Here is a 23,784-nt window from a genome sequence, read left to right on the forward strand (position 1 = left end):
CATGCCCCTTCTATTCTCCTCCACTGTGAACTCAGGGAGAGCAGAGATGGAGGTATTTCTGAATTTGTAACTCCTCAGAGCTGAGAATAGGCCATTTTTAGACTATAAGCATTCAATGTAGTTTTATGGAATTGAAATAAATGGAACCAGCAGCCCATTTTCCTAAAATGTACGGTATTTTCCTTTTTAAATAAGCATCCCTATTTTTTCATGCTGAAATTTATTTAGCATTTGAGTTTAGCTCAATTGTGTTTTTCAGCAAGCTAACAAGTTTTCTTGGTAGACTTCTATCACTGCCAAAATTCTGAGATTAAATTCGAATTTGAGGACTGTTTATCAGAATCCTGGGGTTCTGCTCAGTAATGTCAAAAGCTAGCCAATTGCTAATTCAAGTACTTTCTCCAATAAAGTAGTCTAAAATCTCCAAGGGCTTGCTCGTACAAAAGCCAGAGTAATCACACAGAGCTAAAGATGGGAAAGATAGGCTCATACATCACACAGGCTTTACTACGAAGCAGAGTTCCATTGTATCCACCCTCAGTATGACCCTGCCATTCATTTCCACTCTGTTTCAGAAAAAAGAAGTGTAGTTAGAGAGACCAAAGAAATCAAAGGGTTATAGGCATACACATCAAAATGTACAGGTTAGCCTTGTGCTAGAAAATGTCTTCTGTACCTGGTCAGTTTTATGGTTTTCCTGAATTCATTAGTAATCGGAGCTTTGTATCCTCCTTTCCTCAATAAGGAGTCTATGGTCTGTATATGGTCCCATCCTGTAGAGAGATGACCAGATAAAATATCAGTCAAGCACATGTAACAAACACCTTTCATTAAATACAAAATGACTTTGTAGAGGTCAGCTATCACTGTCACCAAATGCCATCAAATCTTTTGGTCCTAAAAACAATCACACAGAAAAGCTAAGATTTCATCCTTTACAAAAGCAGGGTCATCACCACACTCCTTAAATTCTAGCTATCCACAATGCCAAACAACACTGGCTCCTTTATCTTCGCATTCGAAGTCAAGGGGTCTAAGGGGCTGGCAGAAATTGCTCAGTCATGACTGTAACAAACCATATCTGTTGTACTTTCCTCTAACAGTGACATCTTTAAAAGGGAGTGAAAAGCCTATATGCCATTTTGCCAAGTCAATATTTAGGACTCCCACACCACCTCACAGTAATTGTTGTTCCTTATGGTATCTTCTGTAATTCTGTAATCATTCAAGTTTGTGTGCAGTATTCAAGGGTATTTTGATTAGTTCTGACATGGATGGTATACTAGTATCTGAGGCCCTCTATCTTTTATGTATGCTTTACAAAGTTAATGATACTAGGAGATTAAGACATTTTCTAAAGCAACCCAAATAAATCTTCAAGTAACTGCCTTGAAGACTTTCTGATCTGGGGATTTAATGGCATTAATTTTGCTATTATGTATCTCACATTTATAAGACAAACACGGGAAAACCAAATTACAAATGCTTTCTGATGAGAAGAAAAGCTCCCCAAGATAAAAGATTCATTTCGACCAACATGAAACCAGAATTTAGTAGTTGCTAAGAAAGGATAAAATACTACAGAGTGAAAAGTTACTTTGTGTTACAATGTTGGTTCATACAGGTCTATGCTCTATGTGTGAAACAGGAAAATTCTGATTAGGAAGTGTAGACCAAGCATATAAAACACTAACACTTCATGTTTTCGCAATCCTCTGATCTTAGTGGGAAACCTAGAATCTTAGTATCAGCAGGATGAGTAATGGCAACCACCTAAGAATGAAACATTTGATACTTAAAATGACAAAGAACTATGTGGCTGATTGTCAAACAAAAGGCTTGTTTATGCCACAATGGAATATGGGAAAAATGCATTTCAAATCGGTAGCAAATTGTTGCCTAAAATGAAAACCAACTAATATAAATTCTGCTTTTTAAAAAATATACACTTATGGGTTTATGCCATCAAACTTCAATGCAGGGATTCAACTTCTGTGAGTACTTCACCGACTTGATACAGACATTGCAGTGGCAGTGATGGAAGAGTCACTTCTTATAATTTGACACTTCAATTATTAGACATAACTGCAAGGTCAGATAACGCATTTCAGTTTGTATATTTGTTTAAATTCTTCACCAGATCATATGAAATAAAGTACAACAATGACCTTGCTCCTTTGCAACCTCCGGTAGGTAGGTGGCGGTGCGTTTTGATCCTTTTTCATTGATGAATTCTATTCTAATGCCATGTACACCCACCTGAAAGAAATTGGCAGTTTTATTAGTACAGTCTTCTTCATAGAATCAGAAAGAAAAGGTTATAATTTAACTTTCAAGAGAATGCAGTTCTTCCTTTCCCTTTGTTTTTAGAAGGACGTATAAGTTTTCTCTTTCCAAAGCTTTGACTTTGGATTTGAAGGCCATTATGATGGCCACGGAGAGGGAAAATATTGATTTGCATGTGCCCAACATGCACTAGGCTATGATACTATGTTTGGAAAACTGGAACAACTATTCTGAAGCTGTCTGTAGAATAAGACGGTTGATGGCAAAAATCCTGCCCCACTCCCAAATTGTAGCTCATGCCAATAAAGAACTAGAGACAAAGGTGACTGACTTCAAAGAGATAGCAAACAACCATCCTGTTTTGCAGGTACACTCACCACTTCTGATTAAGTTCCAAAATTTTTGGTGCTGATCCCCTCCCAAACTGTCTACTCCGTTTAAAACATTAAATTATACGTAGGCAAGCAAACACAGTCAGGTAAGATTGAAAATTAATAATGAAAACAACCAGATCCTACATCATCACCCAGTGTAGACAGCATTTCTTTAAAAATGCATTATGACTTAGAGTGGGGTAGTAGCAGACCTTCACTGTCCATCTACACCATTGTCTTCACACAGCTCTACTAAATTTAAGAATAAAGATTTCAAATCACTTCACTGTAGTGCATTATTGCAGTCTCTTTATATACTAGCCCAGAGACCACTGTAACTTTTTAATGTAAAACAAGCTTGTGGTGATGCCCTTAAAAAGGTAGTCTTCTAAGTAACTGTGAGCAATTTCTTGCTAATTTTTTTTTAATAATGTGCTTTTCCTTTGATTAGCATATGATTGAAAGAAATCTGTCCTTTCCCCTCATATCTCACATAGAATAGTATACAGAGCTAAAGATCAAAATTAAAAGTTCTTAACTTCTTTGTGAACATTGATAATAAAAACGAAATTTCAAAAGCATAATGACACCATTCTGTTCTCTTGGATCTGTGGTTGCCTCAGATCAATGGTTCCCAAGTGGAGGGTCAGGTTGTGCAAGGTACTGGAATGGAGATGTAAGACCAGGTAAACATTATTACCCAAGATGGAGGCTTCTTTTCAGAGCAGGTGAGTAAAGTCATAAACCTTTATACTTTCCATGTGTATGGATGTAAAGGTCTAGAAGAGGAAAGGGGGTCAATGAAAACTTCTTTTGCTTCTTCTACCCCCAGTCTCAAATTTTCCAATTTTTTCAGGAATAAAAAGTCCTCTGGGAAAATCCATTTCATCTTTCCCCAGGTCTTCACACATCTATCCATTAGAGCCTGTCAGATCTTCTGAGGAATTTATGGTTTTTTATTTTTATTAAAGCATATCTCTGGCTATTTCTTCTATCTATTTAATATCAGTACTCTTACGAATCTCTTTCTGCTAAAAATGCGACCAGGGTAGCTGTTTAAAAACTAACACAATACTTGCCTCCCATACTGTGTGGGAAATAACTACGTATATAGCTGAGAAGAAATATGAGCGCTTAGCTATCAGGCATTTCCAGGATAAAGGACATCTACTAATCTCTCCAGTGCCTGATGAGACAATGACAAATTTGCAAAATTTCCTGTATACTGACTTCCTGATCAGTAGCTTTGAATTTTTTTTTCCTTTGACAATATCAGATTCCTCATAATTTGTTTTTTAAAAGATACACAGCATAAGTAATTTATACTCCATCATCCACTGAAGTGAATTTTGAATCTTCAACTCTATTTATCAAAAACCCGTCATGTTAAAATTGAAAAGAATTTTGGTGTTTATTAAGGTGTCTAGTCAAAATTGTGATAGGAAGAATGTCTCCCTATCTGTGAGATGAGAGTGTCAGACAAAATTAATGATATTTAACTGGCAAGGGGTGGGGAGCGGGGCTGCAAAGTTTATCAGAATTTCAACAAATACGTTTTGGAAAAAGAACAGCTCCCCAGGTAATTTTTATTCTAATTGAACTAGATAACCTCTAATAAGCATTCTAGTTCTGACAAACTGTGGCTACATACTAAGATTTTTAAAAGTGATTTAGGCAAATGGGGTTAATTTAGACACTTAAGTCCTTTCTTTATAGGAGTACATCCTGTGTTCTTGAACAAAAATATCAGATTTTTAATGTCTAGTAATTTAATAATTAAAAGAAGTTAAGACTGATTGTATGGTATGTGAATGGTATCACAATAAAGCTGTGTGTGTATGGATACAAAGGACATATTGGCCAAAACAAAAATTACTCACGAATAAGACTGCTTTATTTACTCTGCATTTTGAGAAGGTCCTACCATCAAATTTGATAAGAAAAAAACCCCAAATTCTCCAATTTTGATTTAGTACCACATTTACAACTTTTAATTCTTTTCTGGGTTCCTATGACTCTGAACAATTGAAAGCCCCTGTAAATTGAACTGTAAGTATAGTGGTTTTAAAGTGAATTCTTTTTATGAACTTTTTTCATAGGTCAAAAATACTCCCACAAAGCTACAAAGCCCAAACCAGAGTGACTCATTTTTTTCAGCTAGTAGAATTAGGAGAATGGTAATAATGTTCTTAACAAAATCATAGTAGCTTTCTTTCTGTTACCTCTTGAGCAACAGCATTTTCTTTACTCCTAGAACCACAAGCCACTAAATAGTCATACTGAACAATCAAAACAGGAGAAGGAGAACATGGCCTGCTGTGGAGAATGACCAATTCTGGCCAACCTGTGGAAATCACTGGCTTTGCAATGAAATGAGCACCAAAACTAATTCCATATTGTTTCAGGGAGGCATCTGTCACAGCTACAACTCCAAAATGTAACCCTCATGCATAATTGAATCTTCCCTTATACATATTGGAGAATCCTCTGGCCCAGCAACATCCCAAGAGACAAAGGCTATAGTTGCAATTATAAACTAGATAAAAGATCAGCGAACCAGGGAACTGGGATTCCCCGAAGCAGATCTTTAAAACACTACCACGGTAACTTTCTACGTATGGATGAGGGGGCAGCATGTGGGAATACTATGTCACTAAACATACCCCTAACTAATCCTGCCACTGTTTGAAGTACAGCCAGGTGGGTACAAACTGGAAACTTGCAAATCTAGCCTTATGGGTCTGCAGGTCATTTTCAAAATTACTAGATGGTCTATGAAAAAAATGCTTTCGAGGTCCATCAGTTGCGATAATATTCTTTTAATCAAGACTACTTTTGCTAAGCAAAGCTAAAAATCAACCCCAATGGTAGTAAATTAAATGTAGGACTTATAGATAAGAGGATATGGAATTAAGCAGAGCTGTATCTGTGTGTGCTGATAGAACATTAAGACCAGTTCAACGGATTCATATTTCATGCTAAAAAGAAAGCCATATTTATTCTGAACCATTCCATAGCAAGTGATTTTTATTAATGCTATTATACAATCTTTTGTTTTTAACATTGTTCAGAATGATTAAATATCAAGATTAATGTTAAGACCCTAAAATATATCTTGATTATTCTGGGGTTGATTATCCAGTTTAGGGATTATGCATCCCCAGCTCCACCTGGCCTCAGCCCCATCCTCTTTCGTCTCTTGTCCATTTCTCTATTTTTTCACTCCTCTATCAGATAGCACGTGGTCACAGAAAGAAGAGGTACACACAAATTAATCAATTTTGCTACACAGTAAAAGGTTTGGTAGGAGAAGAGATTATAAATAATGGCTAAAATTAAGCTTTGAGACTGTCTGCAGATTTCATTTATCCTTGTTATCTAGTCCCGTGTTAGAAATGTGGCTTCATTTAAAACTATTATCCTCTAATGCAGTGACCCTCAACACAAGAGCATTTTTTAAAAGTACCTTCTCCCATATTATATTCCTTGTAATTGCACAGTCAAAGCTTAATATACCCTAGTCTGTCTAATAAGGCAAGTGTTAGCCTTGTGATCCACAAGCAGCACTACAAAAGAGTCTCACTTTTACTTGTGAGCCTTGTCAGCAAGCCAACAATCTGAATATGCTAAAACATGAAAAAGAGTCATCTGGCTAAAAGCATAAATGAGTATAAAATGTGCTCTGGCTAAGTTGAGTAGCCTCCATGTAAACTTCTGACAGTTTGGGTCCACAATTATCTCCATAGTCCTGACCCTCAAAGCTAAATCTTCCCAATTACATCCTGGCCAACAGAATCACTCTACTACCTTGGGTGGCATCCTGTTTTAGCAAATACCATGGTCAGTCCCATTCTTCCCCATTTTCAGAACCAAATGCTGGGTTTCCCTGTAATAATATGGCCATGGCTTACTCTACTCATTTTCAGTGAGTTCATCTGAATAGCATAAGAAATATCAGGAGGTCAAAGAATCGAAAGTTGTTTGACATGTCTTTTTGGATGAAATCATTTGGCAAAATATGCTTTGCAATTAACAAAGCATCCAGTTACTGGCCATTCACATAAGACTGACCTGCCACGCTCAATATGCCAGTCCAATTGAAGTGAATGAAAGGACACTGTTCCTAATGAGAGGAGCTCAGGATGTTTGGCACACCCCCTAACCTTTAGAGGCTGGTATCACAGAAGGAATGCATGCTCTCTCACAAAACAACCCTGGGTACCACAGCCAGAAACAAACACTGTATTGGACAGTCCATGGGTCTGACCCAGAGTCTGGTGTTTCTGACATTCTTAGGAGGAAAAAACTATGTGCTATATCTCCTAACAGCACAAAACTCATGGTGCAGCATGGTCCACTCTTGAACTTATTGCCCCACAGTTCCTTCTGCCCTACTACTCCAGCTTAGCCTTTTGAAAACAGAAACTCTTCCTTTTCCTAGTGAAAGCAAATTCAACATAAAAGAGAAAAATACTTCGAACTTAGGCCTACTCCAAGTTTCTCTTGGATAATTCTTTGAGCTAGAAAAGTTAAGAATTTAATCATAGAAGCTGATAAGGATTTGTACAGATCCTAATGAACCACTTTCCCCAAATCTGATACTACCAAAAAAAAAAATTTAGATGACATATTATCTCGATCTGCCCATCAAATCCTCACAGTTGTTACTCTGCATCACTTCAACCTGACCACCAATTTGAAAAGCAATTCTGGAGTTCTGAAGGTACATATCTATCTAACATGATCCCTTCATAATCTGGCCAAATTGTAAATTTTTATAACAATGTTGCTGCGATTCAGCTTTTGTTTTTGCTGAGTATTATTTACTCTTGTAAACCTTAGAAACTGTAAACATGCATCTTTTTTTCTGGTTTATAAAAGGAGGACATATGTCTTACAAAAAAATTCCCTTTAGAGCCAGGCAGAGTGGCTCGAGCCTGTTGTCCCAGCTACTTGGGAGGCTGAGGCAGGAGGATCACTTGAAGCCAGGAGTCTGAGACCAGCCTCGACAACAGAGCAAGACTCTGTCTCTAAAAAACAAACAAACAAACAAACAAATAAAGCATCCTTTTAGGAAAGCATAAAGGAGAAAATAAAGATGGCCTGTAATCCTAGTACCATCCGACTAGAGATAACTCTTATCTTAGTGACGTAAAAATTATTTTTCTCCTGAACCAACTGAGATACCACCACAGACTATATTTTAGGCTGTTTTTATACATTATCTGACCAGTTCCTATACCTGTCTTTATTTTCAAATATCCTTTGAGATGCGTTTAGAAGCAGAATACCAGAAACATGAATCAAAAAGGATAATTGATTACAAAGTCATCACCTGAGCATGACTAACCTTTTAACGTACTCTACTATAAAACCTCTGCTTCATCATCTGTCTCAGCTGAAGTTTTTCTTTTTTTCTCAGTTGTTACTTTATGAAAAAGGTCCCCTTGACCAAAATACATATGTGTTGCTCTTCTTTAAAATCCCTGCAGATTAGTCACCTTTGGCTTAGATATTAGTTCAGTCTCCATGAACCAATTCTTGGCTTTTACAGAGCTTACCAAAGGACTAATTAGGGCCAATTTTGATTTATGTAGGAGACAGACTACTTGTCTATCAGGAACAAAAGCCTGCCAACTTATTTCACAAAAGCCACTGAACAACGATCTGGTAACATTTATTTTAATAGCTGACACACAGCTTTAAAATACCTGATCTCTCTAATAGTCACCATGAAATTTTAGTAAAATTTTAAATAAAGTATGGCTAATGAAGAGGTGCTTTGAAAAACTCTGAAGCCAAACATGTTTATATATCTTTTGCAATGAAGGAAATTGATCTTACTCTAAGATTTTGCAGAGAACAAGTGACAGCTCAGAGTGCAATTAAGGGGAAAAAACCCCCAATTCTCTGTAATGATTAATTATAATGAGCATCCCATAAAAACTTAACATCCTAAAGCTTCCCAAGAAATGTTCAGGCAGCACAGGTGACCTTTAAATAAAAAGCGTGCTTTCTATCAAAGTTAGAAAAATGCATTCCTTCCATTTCTTAAAAAAGGGAATAAGGGAGTGAATTTACAGACAAGAAAACTAAAGTTATAAAATTTTCTCAAAACCTAGAGATGTGACTTAGTTTACTTTCCAAAGGCTAGTGGGGACAGGGTGGGCGGGGGGAAGAAATCACCTCCTAGCAAACATGCCTAATATGAAATAATGCTGTTTGCCTAATAAGAAATTAAGAAAAATAAAATTGTATTCATTAGAACTGTACATTGAGTATCTGACTCAATACAGTTTAACTTAGTCTACAAAAGAAATTTGTTCCTAAAAAGTTACATGTGGGTTGAGTTTACATAAATGAATTAATCTTAAAGTCAAGAGGAAAACAATAACATTCTATAGTGAGTTCTTCTACAAAGCAAAATACGTATTCATAAAGTGAATCGCTCCCTAATGTATTTGCCTAATTTAGACTTAAATATATAATGTTGACTTAAAACAGGATGATACAGTAATTAAATGGAGACATTAATGGCTTAGAGCATTTTTCTTCCTCAAGGGAATTCTTTTTGTGAACAGGAAATCTAGAAGGTACAACTTAAAAACTGGACTGTTTTTCACGTTTGTTGCCTACATTTAACTTGGCAATGGCCACTTTGAAAGTTAGGGACCTCTTCTTAAGACTTCTAAATGGCTAGTGGTGATTCATTCTCTGGACAATGAAACAGAAGCCATCTTTTAAAAAGGAGTATGTCACAGAATCATATTCTGTCAGAGTCCAAAGAGATCTTAGGTATCACTTAGTCCAACTTCTTCAGGTTCCTGAAGAAACTGAGGCCCAGAAAGCTCACAGAGCTGGGCAGTGGCAGTCAGGAACAGAACCCAGGTCTCCTTATTCCCAAAATTCAGCATTCTTTTAATTAAATGCTGGGGACACACACACACACACACACACAGGCAAATCATACATGAAATAATAGCTATAACAAAAGTACTAGGGAAGGGGCAGGGAGTTTATGGAATTCTGGGGAAGCAGCAGGCTAACTTCCTCCAACCAATAAACATGCTGCGAGTAAAACTGGAGACAACTTGAGGCGGCCTGAGAAGGGACTAATCAGCAGCGCATTTTGCTAAGAGAACCAACAGCTAATGGAAATTTGTATGCATTAAATCACCTTCTAAGAAGTTACTTTACTTTGTACAGCTTGCTTCCCCACTAGGCTTCTTATACATTGACTTGTTGATGCACAGCAAACTCTTTCTAGATGGCCAGGAAGCCTGAAGCCTTCCTTTCCCAACACTCCACGGCACTTAAAAAAAAAAAAAACATTTAAAGTAGAGCATCAAGAAAGGACTAATCTTAATGATAGTGACATCTTATAAAAAAACTCAACGTCCCTGGGAAAATATGTACTGTGAAAAGCATTTTCCTGGATATATGAAGCTCATATTTTTTAAGTTAGAAGAGAGAAAAAACATGATGTATATCATAGTTGGGAAAAACTAACCAAGAGGGGAAACATAACATATACAACCAGAAGTCATTTCGCTGGGTGACTTCATGAGTCATGCTTACCATCTGTGTATGAATGGGAACTCTGTTTTCAATGGCACATTAAGAGGAGCTAAAAAATGTAAACCTTTAAGGGGGGAGTGAGGGTGAAAAGAACATTAACTTCTAAAATATGTGGGAGATAATGACAGTAGCCAATTTATTCATCTCATCTGTTTACTCTCACGAAGGTTGTTACAAAAGCACCCTATTATTAACTGCAACTGAACACGTCAGAATTGAGCTGTGATCACTCAAGAGGTGTGCCTTGGAGGTTGCTTTTAAAGTGAAACACAGCTTTCTGAGTACCAGGAGTCCAACGAGGCTCAAATACAATGACAGATGCTTTGGTACTTTAGGGACAGAGTGAGATCAGGGGCCTGAGGTATAGCTTTATAGTCCAGGGACAGATTTTTGGCATCATACAATAACTGTGCTGGCCAGCCCCACCCAGCATGGGTTGATTCCATGTACGTATTGTGTGCTCCAATGGAACAGTCTGTCTTGGGACCACAATGTATTGCCCAGGTGACAGCTGTATAGAAAAAGTGAGATACCAGTGATCCAGGTAGCCAGATATAGGAGAAAGTGACTAATGGTTTGTGAAAATGTCATTAATCTTTTGAAATCTGATCTAAGGAGTTACTTTAGAATACAGAGAATATTTTTACTTCATGCCTTCAAGTGATCTTGTCTCTAAAGCACAGAAGTAAAAGACGCTTGATTACAATTTAGAAAATATTTTGACTTCTGTCAGCAAATTGCTACATTAGCTTCCACAAAATCACTGGTAACATACTTGCTATACGAATTCTTCTACAAACAAAAAGTTTATTCATTTATATCATCCTGAAAATGAGCACCTATGAGGTGACACACATAGAATCACCCCTCAAGTCAAGCTCCAGTCCATTGTAATGTCTGGTTTTATATCCTTTCAGATTTTTAAAAAGGAAACATGGCTCCCAAACAGTTTAACTCTACAAGTTCCAGGCTATGTCATTTTGGCAGGCTCCAACATGCTGCATGAGTTTTTCTTTCTTTACAAAGCACCATGTCTGTCAATCACCCTGTCATTCAGAATTAAGAAAATGATGTCAACTGAAGAACACAGAACAATGGTGATGAGTTTCCGTGTTCAAACACAAAGCATATCATGTCAGATTTATCTAGGGGAGCAATTTTCCTCATTTAACAACCATTTTAGCCTTGCAGGTAGACATTCCAATTTATCAGCTAATGAAATTTTTCCTCAAATTATTCACTCTTCATCCTTCTCATACCTACTAGGACAATAAGTACATCATGATGTGGGCAATGATCAGTTATTCTTGGAAGGGTGGGGCCACTGCTCTAATTTGTCCTTACTGCCTTTTGTGGATGGCTGTTATTTTTAATGACTGCCCAGATTCCTTCAGAGGCTACCCATAAACACTTATTTTAAATGTTATAATTACTATTCTGAGGAAATAGAACATATGGAAGCATTATTGATTAGTCTGTCAATTCAATATTGACTTGAAATTAGTTACAGCCATTTGTAAAACCATTTGTCAAACATCCCTCACATTATCAAACAGAAGCACTCTAGCTCCTAAAACAAGGTCTAAAGTAAATCCTACTTTCCTACTAACTTCCATTATAAAATTAGAGACATGTTATCAGAAGAAAGTTCCCAAATAGACCGAGTTAAAAACCTTGCATGAAAAAGACAGTAAGATGGTAGCCAGACGCGTGGCAATTCATTTGTTTCCTGATCATCTGAAAACTGGGTGGCTATTACCACTGATCGTGGTCACGTTCCTCATCCTCATGACCACAGGGATATCTGTCTTGGTAGCGAAGATATCTACCTCTATGCTTTGGGACTTCTAGACTTTGCCCTCTTCCTGCTTTAATCTGGGCATTTTCATCCCTTTAATTAGGAATTCCACTGCAGTAACACACTTAACCAGTGGGGGTCAATTCTCAAACTGTACTTCCACCAGAAAAGTGCTACGTTAGAAGCTTCTGTTTGTATAAAACATGCTCATTATCTATCTTCAACTTTAACATTCTGTATTAAAATTCTGTAATAATCTCCTTGTTTTCCCCTGTGGCATAAACATACACAGGACTTCACATTTCAGGTTAAAATTGCATACTTATGGTGAATAGGATATTTTTTCTTGGAAGAAAAGTTGTACCTATTAGTGTGAAAATTCTCGTGAAGCATATACTTTCATAATATAGACTGACTTCTCAAAAAGGAAATTCAAAATATAATTTACTTATATACAAAGATAAACCATAAAGACTTCCCCACAATCTTTTAAATAGTGATTGCATATTCAATATGATCTGTTATGTAACCAAATATTCAGATTTATTGATACAAAGACAGATAAAGAATGGAAAAAAAATTTTAAAAAGTCTTAGTATAATATATAAAAGATAATGGAAAGAAATATTCCAAAATGTTAACAGTAGTTATTCTCAGAATGGTGTAATTATAAATGACTCACATTTCTCTCATTATATGTTTTTAATTTAAAAAATTTTCTTCTTTGATAAGTTAAAATTGCTATTATGAACAGAATATATGTATAAAGTTTATTTTCCATTTTTATTGTAGTAAAATACACATAAAATTTGCCATTTTAACAATTTTAAAGTGTACAATTCAGTGGTATTAAATACATTCACAATATTGTACAACCACCACCACTATCTGGTTCCAGAACTTTCTCACCACTCCAAATGGCAACCCTGTACCATTAAGTAGTCACTTCCCATTTACCCCTCCCCCTAGCCCCTAGCAACTATTAATCTGCTTTCTATCTCTATGGATTTGCTCATTCTGGATATCTCACATAAATGGAGTCATACGGAATGTGGCTTTCTGTGTTTCACTTCTTTCACTTAGCATAATGTATTCATGGTTCATTCATGTTGTAGCATGTATTTCACTTCTTTTTATGGCTGAGTAATGTTCAATTGTATGAATATAACATATTCTATTTATCCATTCATCTGTTGATAAACATTTGGGATGTTTCCACCTTCTGGCTATTGTGAACAGTGCTGTTATGAACATTCATGCACAAGTTTTTGTTTCAACACTTCAATTCTTTTGGGTATATACCTAGAAGTGAAATTGTGTCAACGTATAATTTTTTAATGCCTTTAATTCCATTTTGGCATTCTGTGTTTAGTAATGCTTTTTCAGAATCATTAAGGATAACCCTTAGAATATCATTCCCACAATACTATTACTCCATTTTCAATCACTGAGTAAGGTACATATTTTTTTAAGACCAAATCACATTCTTGTACTTAAAAATATAATTTCCACCCTTATTCGTTGTATACAAATTTCTCTTCTGCCAAATACCTGAAACAATGATGAACTAACTGAAAAGGATGGGCTTTTCCTCTTAGCATAGCCATTCTAACAGTAACTAATTCACTTTCAAATACTTGTATATTAAAAGTAAAAAAAAAAAATGGGGGCCAGGCACGGTGGCTCACGCCTGTAATCCCAGCACTTTGGGAGGCCGAGGTGGGTGGATCACGAGGTCAGGAGATCGAGACCATCCTGGATAACACGGTGAAACCCCATCTCTACTAAAAATACAAAAAATTAGCCAGTCATAGTGGTGGGCGCCTGTAGTCCCAGCTACTCAGGAGGCTGAGGCAGGAGAATGGCGTGAACCCAGGAGGCGGAGCTTGCAGTGTACTGAGATCACGCCACTGCAGTCCAGCCTGGGCGACTGAGCGAGACTCTGTCTCGAAAAAAAAAAAAAGTGTATTTTTTGCTTCAATAGGGAACTAATACTTAATAGAAATTAATATTTAAGCCCCCTAAAATATATTAAATACACAATACCAAGTAGGAACAATATAGAATCTTCTGGAAATTCAGGCTGGCAGATGGTGACCAAAGAGGATAAATATGCCTTGAAAGAGTATATAGTGGAGTACACAGTACTACTTCTTAAGGGCTTTACATCCCACTCTCCTAACAAACAGAAAGCTGATGTATCTTTTGGACATAATAGTCCAATAATATCAAGGTTAATTTTAGCTGTAGATAGTGCTTTAACTGGGCTAAAGATGATGATGATGTACTCGGTGCTTAACCATGCCTATGTAACAGCTGTTGTATTCTCCCCTTTTTCCTTCCCCCAAAACACATGCACACACATTTATGTAATACTAGTATGTTCATGTTTGTGACACACACACATGCACACACACAGAAACACACATGCCAGAACTGTACTTCCAACTCAGTAGCTGCAAGAGTAGAAGTGTTCTTGTAGCTTGGTCATCCCCCTTGGATCTCAGGCTTTTCCCATATAATCACTCCCATCCCCACTACTACATACACAACACCCTGCAATCCAGAAAGCAAAAGTAAATCTGGCTGCGGAAGAGGAAACAGCAGCCTTAAAACAGTAAAAGAACCACCCAGACTATAATATATGTTAATAAGTAGGGAACATGATTTGGGGCTGTTTAAAAATAAAGTACTAAGGAATATTTCCATAATATTTGTAGACTTTTCTTTAAGAAAAATCAAGTAAGAACAACAAACTTATAGCAAATAATAAATCAGAAATTTCAAGTTTACAAAAGGTTTTCTACATTCCAACTTTGGTAGGAACAACAGTATAAATTTATTTTATTTCTTCCTTTGCAAAAATCCTAAGATGTGTTCATATTCTGATAATGCTCCAGAAAATCTTAGCACAAAACCCAGAGGGGACTCTAGCATTGTACTCTCTGTAGAAAAGTTTTTTTTCACCCCACCCCCTAAAACTTTTTAAATAGCTCTGGTATAACAACAATAATTTATATCATAGAGTTTTTTTTCAAATGAAGAACCTTATAAATGTCTTATTCTGTATATTGGAAAACTGAATTGCAGTGGAGTAAGTAAATTGTTCAAAGTCTCACAAGGAATCAGGGCAAAGCCAAAATTAAATTCAAGTCTAATAAACTGTGAAGACAGTGATCTGTCTCCAAGGCAGAATAGTTCAGTTACTATGGGGGATGGTCCTTCTAAAACAGCAGAAGAATTAAAATCTGTCATAAGGATACAATAATGCCATTTATGAGTGTATGTGTGAGAGAGAATGTTATGTTTATCACTGAGTTCCCATTGTTTCATTCTCATAGCACTTATTTCTTCATACTTTCTATACACATTTACTCGCCACTAAATTATGACATGCTTCATGGTGGGAACCAAATCTTACCACTTTTATACATGGAGCACATTGCCTGGAATAAAACAGGCATTCAGTAATATGGGCATGCTTGTGTGTAAAATTTCATAGACCCAATAGACCTACACTCAACATCTCCTCCCAGCCACCAAAGCAAATCATGGTGAGAACCTTTGAACTTCACTAACAATGTTAGCCAACCCCATGTACTAAAGAAGAATAAAAATATGATCAATATAAGCTACTCTAACAATAGCAATGCACAGAGATACCCTAGAAATAACCTTAGTATTATTTGTTAGAGTGTTTAAGTGTATAAACTAAGGTAGCCAAGAATGAATTCACATTATTTAACTCTAGTTAATCAATACCTTGTTGTTATCACAAGCTGATTCCCCCAAATGGTGTATTATCCTAAATATTTCTTCTTGTTTCTGAGATGTATCCTCTGACCAACTAGTTACTTAGTGGCGGTTATACCAGAGTGCACCAGAATGAAAGTAAGAGGAGAAATAAATTCCAGTCAGTCCTTCTTATTACTTATTAACAGCTTTTATGAGGTGCTTTGGTGAGGTAGTAGGAGAAAAATGAAAACCAAATTCAGTTTGGGGATTATAACAACACGTGGCACTTTGTCCTTTAAAAAACTCATTTACTTATATCTCGTTCAGTTGTGAGGTTTATTCATCCATATTACTCTCGACCTCCATTACAATAGAGAATGGGCTGAAAGAGTTATTTTCTGGGCCTAATTTTTAACATCTCCTCAAGAGTTACCTTCATTTTTCTTTAAAAATTTTTCTATAATCTTACCTCCCAGTCCAAATAATCACAGACATCTTCAAAGTTAGTGAGCAGAGACACTGAGCAGAAAAGCCGTGGCAGCTCATCCCTTGTCATTGGGGGAAAACGGCTATCTTTAAGGGCACTGTTAAAAACAAAGCAAATATTAAAGCAATCACTGGATATGAAAGTTCCCAATTTCAAATGCAAACAATTGTTTGAAAAAGGTAAGAGTTTCAAAAAGAATCAGTAAGATGTCAAAGGTACCAACAAGCTTCAAATGTATTCAAATTCCCCAAAGATTTTAGAAGTCACCTTTTTTTTCATTTAATAGATTGTGTTTGCTAGCCAATCTTGTGACCACTTCAATTGTAAAGAGAGAATCATCAATTACATTTCCTGTACAGCCATTTCCTGATGTCTTTCCCTGCTACTTGTAGAATCTAAGAATGTTTTATTTTGCTTTTGAGAAGAATAAAAACTAGACTAGTGGAAACTTGTAGGAAGATTTCTGGATCTAGTGCTGGTGGCAGTAAAATTATATATATATGTGTGTGTATATGTGTGTGTGTATGTATACATATATATGTATACAAACATACACATATATACAATATTGTTTTAAAAAAGATTATACTAGGAAGGCCAGTCACCATAGAACAGCACTCAAAGAATTCAAAGGAAGATCAAAATTTCATTTTCTTCAATTAAAAAAAAAACAAAGAAAAGAAATAATCATGCAAATTATAGACTAAAAATACTCATAAGAATTTCAGGCCCCCAATAAAGGATAATTTAACATATGACTCAAAAATTGTGAAACTACAGGAAATAGGGCTAATCTAGGAAATAAAAGTATGATTAGGAGACCATTAATCATGTCAATGAATTTCTGAGTACATCAACTCTGATTGGATCCTGTAATCAAGTGTAGGATATCATAGTGCCAAACTCTAGAAAACCCCACTGTAAAATGTGGAAAAACCATAATTCTTCCTGCAACGGAATAGAAAATACACACACACACACACACACACACACACACACACACACAGTGTGTGTTCCTTATACTTTTAAAAGAAACCACTTCCTGATTAAGAAAAACAAACATACCTCTGATTGCCTACTATATTAATGGCACTACTGGTATTCATAACATCCATCTTCAAATGTCCTAGATAGTAGCCAGGCTTAGAAATATTTTCATGGATTTATCCTCAGAGGTTACAAACTCAGACTCTACAAACTGCTTGGGTCATAACATAGTTCCATAGACTTGGAAAGAATTTAATTCCTTTTTCAGTGACTTTCTCACTGCTGAATTTTCTTTTTTTCATTTTCCCATCCCTTTGTTTGCATTTTGAAGCTCATCCACTGCGTTTTTATATTTGCACCACATTTTGGTGCTCATTTTATCCTGCTATACAAAGGAAAATGCTTATAGGAAGATACAGAGATGTTATATATGTATAAAAGTATATATGTTTTTCCCATTCAAGATGCCAAGATTAACCAAGAAAATCAGGAAATCTGTGATAATTCATACTCTGAGAACAGCATTTCACTATTTTATAATTTAATTACGTAAATTTCCTATGGTTTGGCTTCTTTTATTTTCCTACTGACAAATAAAAGTTTTAAAAAATACTTCCAAGTTCTCATTCAAAGCCAAGATAAAGACGTGTGTGTGTAACCACCCGCATCCCCCAACGCCACACAGGAAAGAAGTTCTAAAATACAGACCAGAAGAATTATATGCATAAAAAACAAAAGGCCAATCACATTTTCAGTTTTACTGTTAAAAGAAGAAAAAGAGTAAAAGACACATCATTCATTAGAATAATATAAAATATAATCTTAGGGGGTTATGGATTTTTTTACTGTGGTAAAATATACATAACATAAAATTACTATTTTAGCCATTGTTAAGTATATAGTTCTGTAAAATTAAATATATTTGTTGGGTATCTATCACTATCTTCCATCTCCAGAACTTTTTCATCTTTCCAAACTGAAACTCTGCACCCATTAAATACTAACTCCCCATTCCCCCCCGCCCCTAGTCCTGGCATAAAATGTAATTTAAATATACTTTTATAATTTCAAATAGTTATAGTAATACAGTCACTAATGTTTTTAATCCATAACACTTTTATTGAGATATAATTCACATACCACAAAATTCACCCTTTTAAAGTATATAATTCAATGGCTTTTAGTATATTCACAGTTGTGCAACCATCACCATTATGCAATATTAGAACATTTTCATCATCCTTAAAAGAAACTACGTACCCAATAGCAGTCACTGCATATTGGCACCACTCCCAGCTCCTGGAAACCATTAATCTACTTTGTTTCTATGGATTTGCCTATTCTGGACATTCTGTATAAATGAAATCATACAATATATTGCCTTTAGCGTCTGGCTTCTTTCACTTAGCATATTTTTGAGATTTCATCCATGTTGTAGCATGTATCAGTACTTCATTCTTTTCATTGCCTAATAATATTTCATTGTATGGATACACCAAATTTTGTTACCTATTCATTGGTTGATGGACATTTGGGCTGTTCCCACTTTTTGGCTATTATAAATAGTGCTGCTAGGGAATTGATGTATAAGTTTTAATGTGGATGTATGTTTTCATTTCTCTTGGATAGATAGCTAGGAGTGGAACTGCTGGATCATAAAGGTAATTCTACCTTTAACTTTTTGAGGAACCAATGAACTATTTCTCACAATGGCTGCACGATTCTACTTTCCCAGCAGCAATGTATGAGTTCCAGTTTCTCCACATCCACACCAATATTTGTTGTTGTTTGACCTTTTGAATATAGTGCTAGACCTCCTTTAATGAAGCACATTTTGTACCTAGCTCTAGCTTTTTCATTTTAAAAATACACATGCTGAAGTCGCTATACAGTTAATTTCTCAATACTTTGAGGCAAGTTATTTTGTTTAGTTCATTTCCTAGCAGACCAATAAAAGATAAGTTTTAGCTCAATGCAGTTCAAACTATTTGAAATCAATGTAATTTTCAAATACCTAAAACATAAGTGAAGATCAGGCTACAGTGCTTTTCTCATGACATGGAGCCTTGTTGTTTGTTCACTCATTCTAGGCTTAAAAAAAAAGAAGAATGTTTAGAACAAGGAGTTAGTAGGAAAATGCTAGAACAATGAATGGGATAAAATGACAATGGTGCCTCACCATGTCAAGATTCAAACATACTGATTTCAAAACTCTGAAATAGTAAAGGTTGTTAGTCATGATGGGAATAGTCTGATTTTACAGAGACATTTAAACAAGACTTTTGATTCTTGCATTTTTTAGCCAGCTCTAAGTAATTTTTCATTAAATTCATGAACACAGAAAAATTACAAAGGTAGGAAGTCCTCAATGTCTCTAAATGTAAATTTCTAGGGAAATGAACTAGCAATGAAAGCCTGCAAGGATTTAAGAGATTACAAAAAGATGAAAATACAGCTGGAGACTGACCTCAGAGCTGCCAGGCTGGTGTGGATAGCTGATAAACAACAAGATTCAGCTTTCCTCAACCAAGCTTTCCTTAACCAAGCTCTCTTTAGAATATGCAATGTTGAAATTGTGCTTTTAGAGAGAATACTGTAATCTGGAGTTGGGCAGTGACTTACTCAAGGTGACTCAGCTAAGTTAATGACAAGGGTAGGGATACAACTGAGATTTTCTGACTCAAGTCCAAAATTCTTTCGAGTATCTATACTTTAGTTGTCACCTTTGCATGGATTTGTTTTCAAATTTTAAAATTAAATGCTTGCCTTACTTGGCAATTCTGATCTCATACCTGTGGTACCTCTACCTAAAGATGATAAATAATCATTCAGCAGCACTCATTAGTAGCCAAAGGGTAAACAGAGCTAGACTTCCTGTCTACTGGAAATCTGCAGGAGTAAAACATTTTAAAATATTAATACTGTCCATAGAAAGCATTTTATACCAAAGTAGTATCTGCCAATTTAAATTCTAGGCAGTCTAAGGAACTGACAAGGGGGTCCTGTAAGTAAATTCATATGAATTTCTCTTTGTTAGAATAGGAAATCATTTTCTAATGTTTAAATATTGCTAGAAAAACAAAACAAAACACTTACATGTAAAATCAGTCAGCTGCTCCATCACCCATATGATGGATGGGTAAGCTTTAAACAATTACAGTTTAGTTCACATATCAAATTCAAATATATTCAATTCAAATTGGCACCTTCTCAAGAATACACCTCACCTAATTGAGAAGGAACGTTAACATTTGTCAAAGTTAATATATAATGTTATATAGTACTTTAATAAAAATGAACATTTTAAGAAAAGATATTAAGAGTTTAGCTATGAAAGAACCAAAGAGTTTGTGACAGTGCCTGGAAACTATGCTAAAAAGAAAAAAAAGTCGCTGAAAAGAGGCAAAACCTTAGATATTACAAGGCTCATCGTAAACGATAGAGCATGTAACAGAAATAATTTAAGGGACTCTGTCTAGTCATTTGCTCACTTGTTCATTCACTTTCTAAAATATTGTTGACCTTAATCGGTTAACTGCTGGAAAGTTATCAAACTGAGAGGGGCTTCATATTACATATAACTATTATTCAGGACAAGGAAGTAATTAAAACCCAAATTAAAAATCCCTGTTTGGACAGGCAAAGAGAAGCAATTCAACTATGTTTTAGTCTAAAACTAAAAGCAGTTTTTTCATGAGGGGTTTCAACCACCAGGAAATTCCATATTCTGTCATTCCCTGCTAGAGCTTCTGGAATAGAATGCATACATGGCATGTTTGAACCCCAGAAACTCAGAATACTAGAATCCTAAACCCACATCTGAAAAATTATCTACCGCTCTGTCTCACTAAGTAGCAATTTTAGCTTTCTAAAATTCACGAAGTAATGGACACAAAACAAAATGTAAAAATGTGCCTATTCATCAAACCTAAGGGTAGAGAGGAAGAACAAAAGACACAATTATGGTTAAGGAAGGAGGAAAGGTGCCTTATTTTGGTGAGGGCTGTTACTCAAAAGAAAAGTTTCAATTGTAAGCTATATGTACAGTGTTACTTAACTGGGAGATGTTTTTCCTTTTACAGTAATAATAAAACCTTCTTGCTGCTCAATGACCATTAACATTTATTAATTTTAATATATATGCTTAATATGATATGATGGGTAATTCATGGGGAATAGAGGAAAGAACTAAGGGATGGAACAAAAGGAAGAGAAGATAGGAGAGAAAGAAAGAAAAAAACAACCCCATCAAAAAGTGGGCAAAGGATATGAACAGACACTTCTCAAAAGAAGACATTTATGCAGCCAAAAAACATGAAAAAATGCTCATCATCACTGGCCATCAGAGAAATGCAAATCAAAACCACAATGAGATACCATCTCACACCAGTTAGAATGGCAATCATTAAAAAGTCAGGAAACAACAGGTGCTGGAGAGGATGTGGAGAAATAGGAACCCTTTTACACTGTTGGTGGGACTGTAAACTAGTTCAACCATTGTGGAAGTCGGTGTGGCGATTCCTCGGGGATCTAGAACTGGAAATACCATTTGACCCAGCCATCCCATTACTGGGTATATACCCAAAGGACTATAAATCATGCTGCTATAAAGACACATGCACACGTATGTTTATTGCGGCATTATTCACAATAGCAAAGACTTGGAACCAACCCAAATGTCCAACAATGATAGACTGGATTAAGAAAATGTGGCACATATACACCATGGAATACTATGCAGCCATAAAAAATGATGAGTTCATGTCCTTTGTAGGGACATGGATGAAATTGGAAAACATCATTCTCAGTAAACTATCGCAAGAACAAAAAACCAAACACCACATATTCTCACTCATAGGTGGGAATTGAACAATGAGATCACATGGACACAGGAAGGGGAATATCACACTCTGGGGACTGTTGTGGGGTCGGGGGAGGGGGGAGGGATAGCACTGGGAGATATACCTAATGCTAGATGACGAGTTAGTGGGTGCAGTGCACCAGCATGGCACATGTATACATATGTAACTAACCTGCACAATGTGCACATGTACCCTAAAACTTAAATTAAAAAAAAAAACCATATTATCCAATTCTGGAAAAAAAAAAAAGAAAGAAAAAGGAAAAAGGAATATGTAAAAAGAGAAAGGAAGAGAAAAGCAAGAAGCTGAAAAAAGAAGTAGGAGTCAAAGAAAGTACAAAAAAGGGGGACACTTAGAAAGGGCTCAAATAGAGACATATGCAAAGAAACAAGGAGAAAGCAAGAAAGGGAGAATGGAAAAGTAAGAGAGAGGAGAGGGAGATAAAGGATAACAGGTTCAGTAGGTTTTGATATATATTATCGGGCTTCTATCCTATGAGATTCACTTAGGCTTTAGAGTGTTATCACTTACTGCCCTCTGATTAAAGTTCCTGAAATGCTCTGATCTTGCATTCTTAAAAGCCTCTACTCTCTATGAGATAGCCATAGCTGCCCACCAGGAAGGGAAAATTCCCTGTGAGCTGCCAGCTGTGAGGACCAGCAAGTATCATCAGAATCTGCCTCCTAGGCCACAAATTCCTCCCCTCTAAATTAAGAGAATTGGGTCTGAATTTGATTTAGTGGAGCAGAGCTAAAACTGGAAAATAAAAGATACATAAAGAAACAGATGGCTAAATGTTTGTATATACAGAAAGTATTTCTTATTTCCCTCTACAAAATGTCTACATAATGCTTTCTCTGCAGAGTTTCTAGATTTACTCTATCTTGTTTTTAGAAATGAACTACTAGAAACTATTTTTGTTTAAATTATGTTTTTCTGATGAAAATCTGCCAAAGTAAAATGAATATAATTTAATTTTCTCTTTATGAATCTGGTTCATCTTTAAAACTCAATATAACTGGGTCATTTGTTACTGTACACCATAACAACAGTGCTCTCGAGGCCTTGGCAAGAAAAAAATGTGTGGGTTTGGAAAAGATTACGATATGACCACTGACAATTATAAGCTTGGAAATGTGAAGATATGAGATTGTCTCTACCTTCAAGAGACTGTGTAACACACAGACTGGCAAAATTTCCAGGGATCTCATCCGTGTGTTCTCTTAAGTTAGGATATACTATAAAACTGAATGAACCACCTCTTGAACTGAATTGGAATTTAGAAACCTGGTCTACAATCCCAAATTAGTATTACTTCCCCAGACCCATCAAAAGTGTGTCTCCAAGGTATAACAACAGTTCTCTGTGACTTATGCCAATAAATATAGCTCCTAAAATGCAAAATTGAAGTAATCGTTAATTAATGAGCACTATTTCACAGTTCTCTAGAACATAACATATTACAATGGCCAACAGCTTGGGTTCTGGAGTCAGATATACTTGCATTTGGATCCTGGCTCCACTATACATTAGTTGTGTGACATTTGGGCAAGTCTCTTAATCTATGCCAGCCTTCATTTCCTCATTTATGAAATGGAGATCATAACAGTACCCACCTAATGGAGCAACTGTAACAAATAAAATAATAATAACTGCACAAGTGCCTTTACTAACCTA

General features: G+C 35.9%; 1 protein-coding gene across 3 annotated transcripts in view; it reads right to left on the reverse strand.

Annotated features, from left to right (window-relative positions):
• AMMECR1 (AMMECR nuclear protein 1) overlaps nucleotides 1-23,784 on the reverse strand; it is a 246,048-nt gene that overhangs the window by 6,092 nt on the left and 216,172 nt on the right. For all 3 annotated transcript variants that reach the window (NM_001171689.2, NM_001025580.2, NM_015365.3), the window contains 3 exons: nucleotides 16,241-16,355; nucleotides 2,169-2,259; nucleotides 677-773 (listed from right to left, as the gene is read on the reverse strand). In NM_001171689.2, the coding sequence (NP_001165160.1) occupies nucleotides 677-773; nucleotides 2,169-2,259; nucleotides 16,241-16,355 (303 nt within the window). The remainder of the gene's footprint in view (nucleotides 1-676; nucleotides 774-2,168; nucleotides 2,260-16,240; nucleotides 16,356-23,784) is intronic.

The sequence above is a fragment of the Homo sapiens genome, chromosome X (genome assembly GCF_000001405.40).
Source record: "Homo sapiens chromosome X, GRCh38.p14 Primary Assembly".
Lineage (NCBI taxonomy): Eukaryota > Metazoa > Chordata > Mammalia > Primates > Hominidae > Homo > Homo sapiens.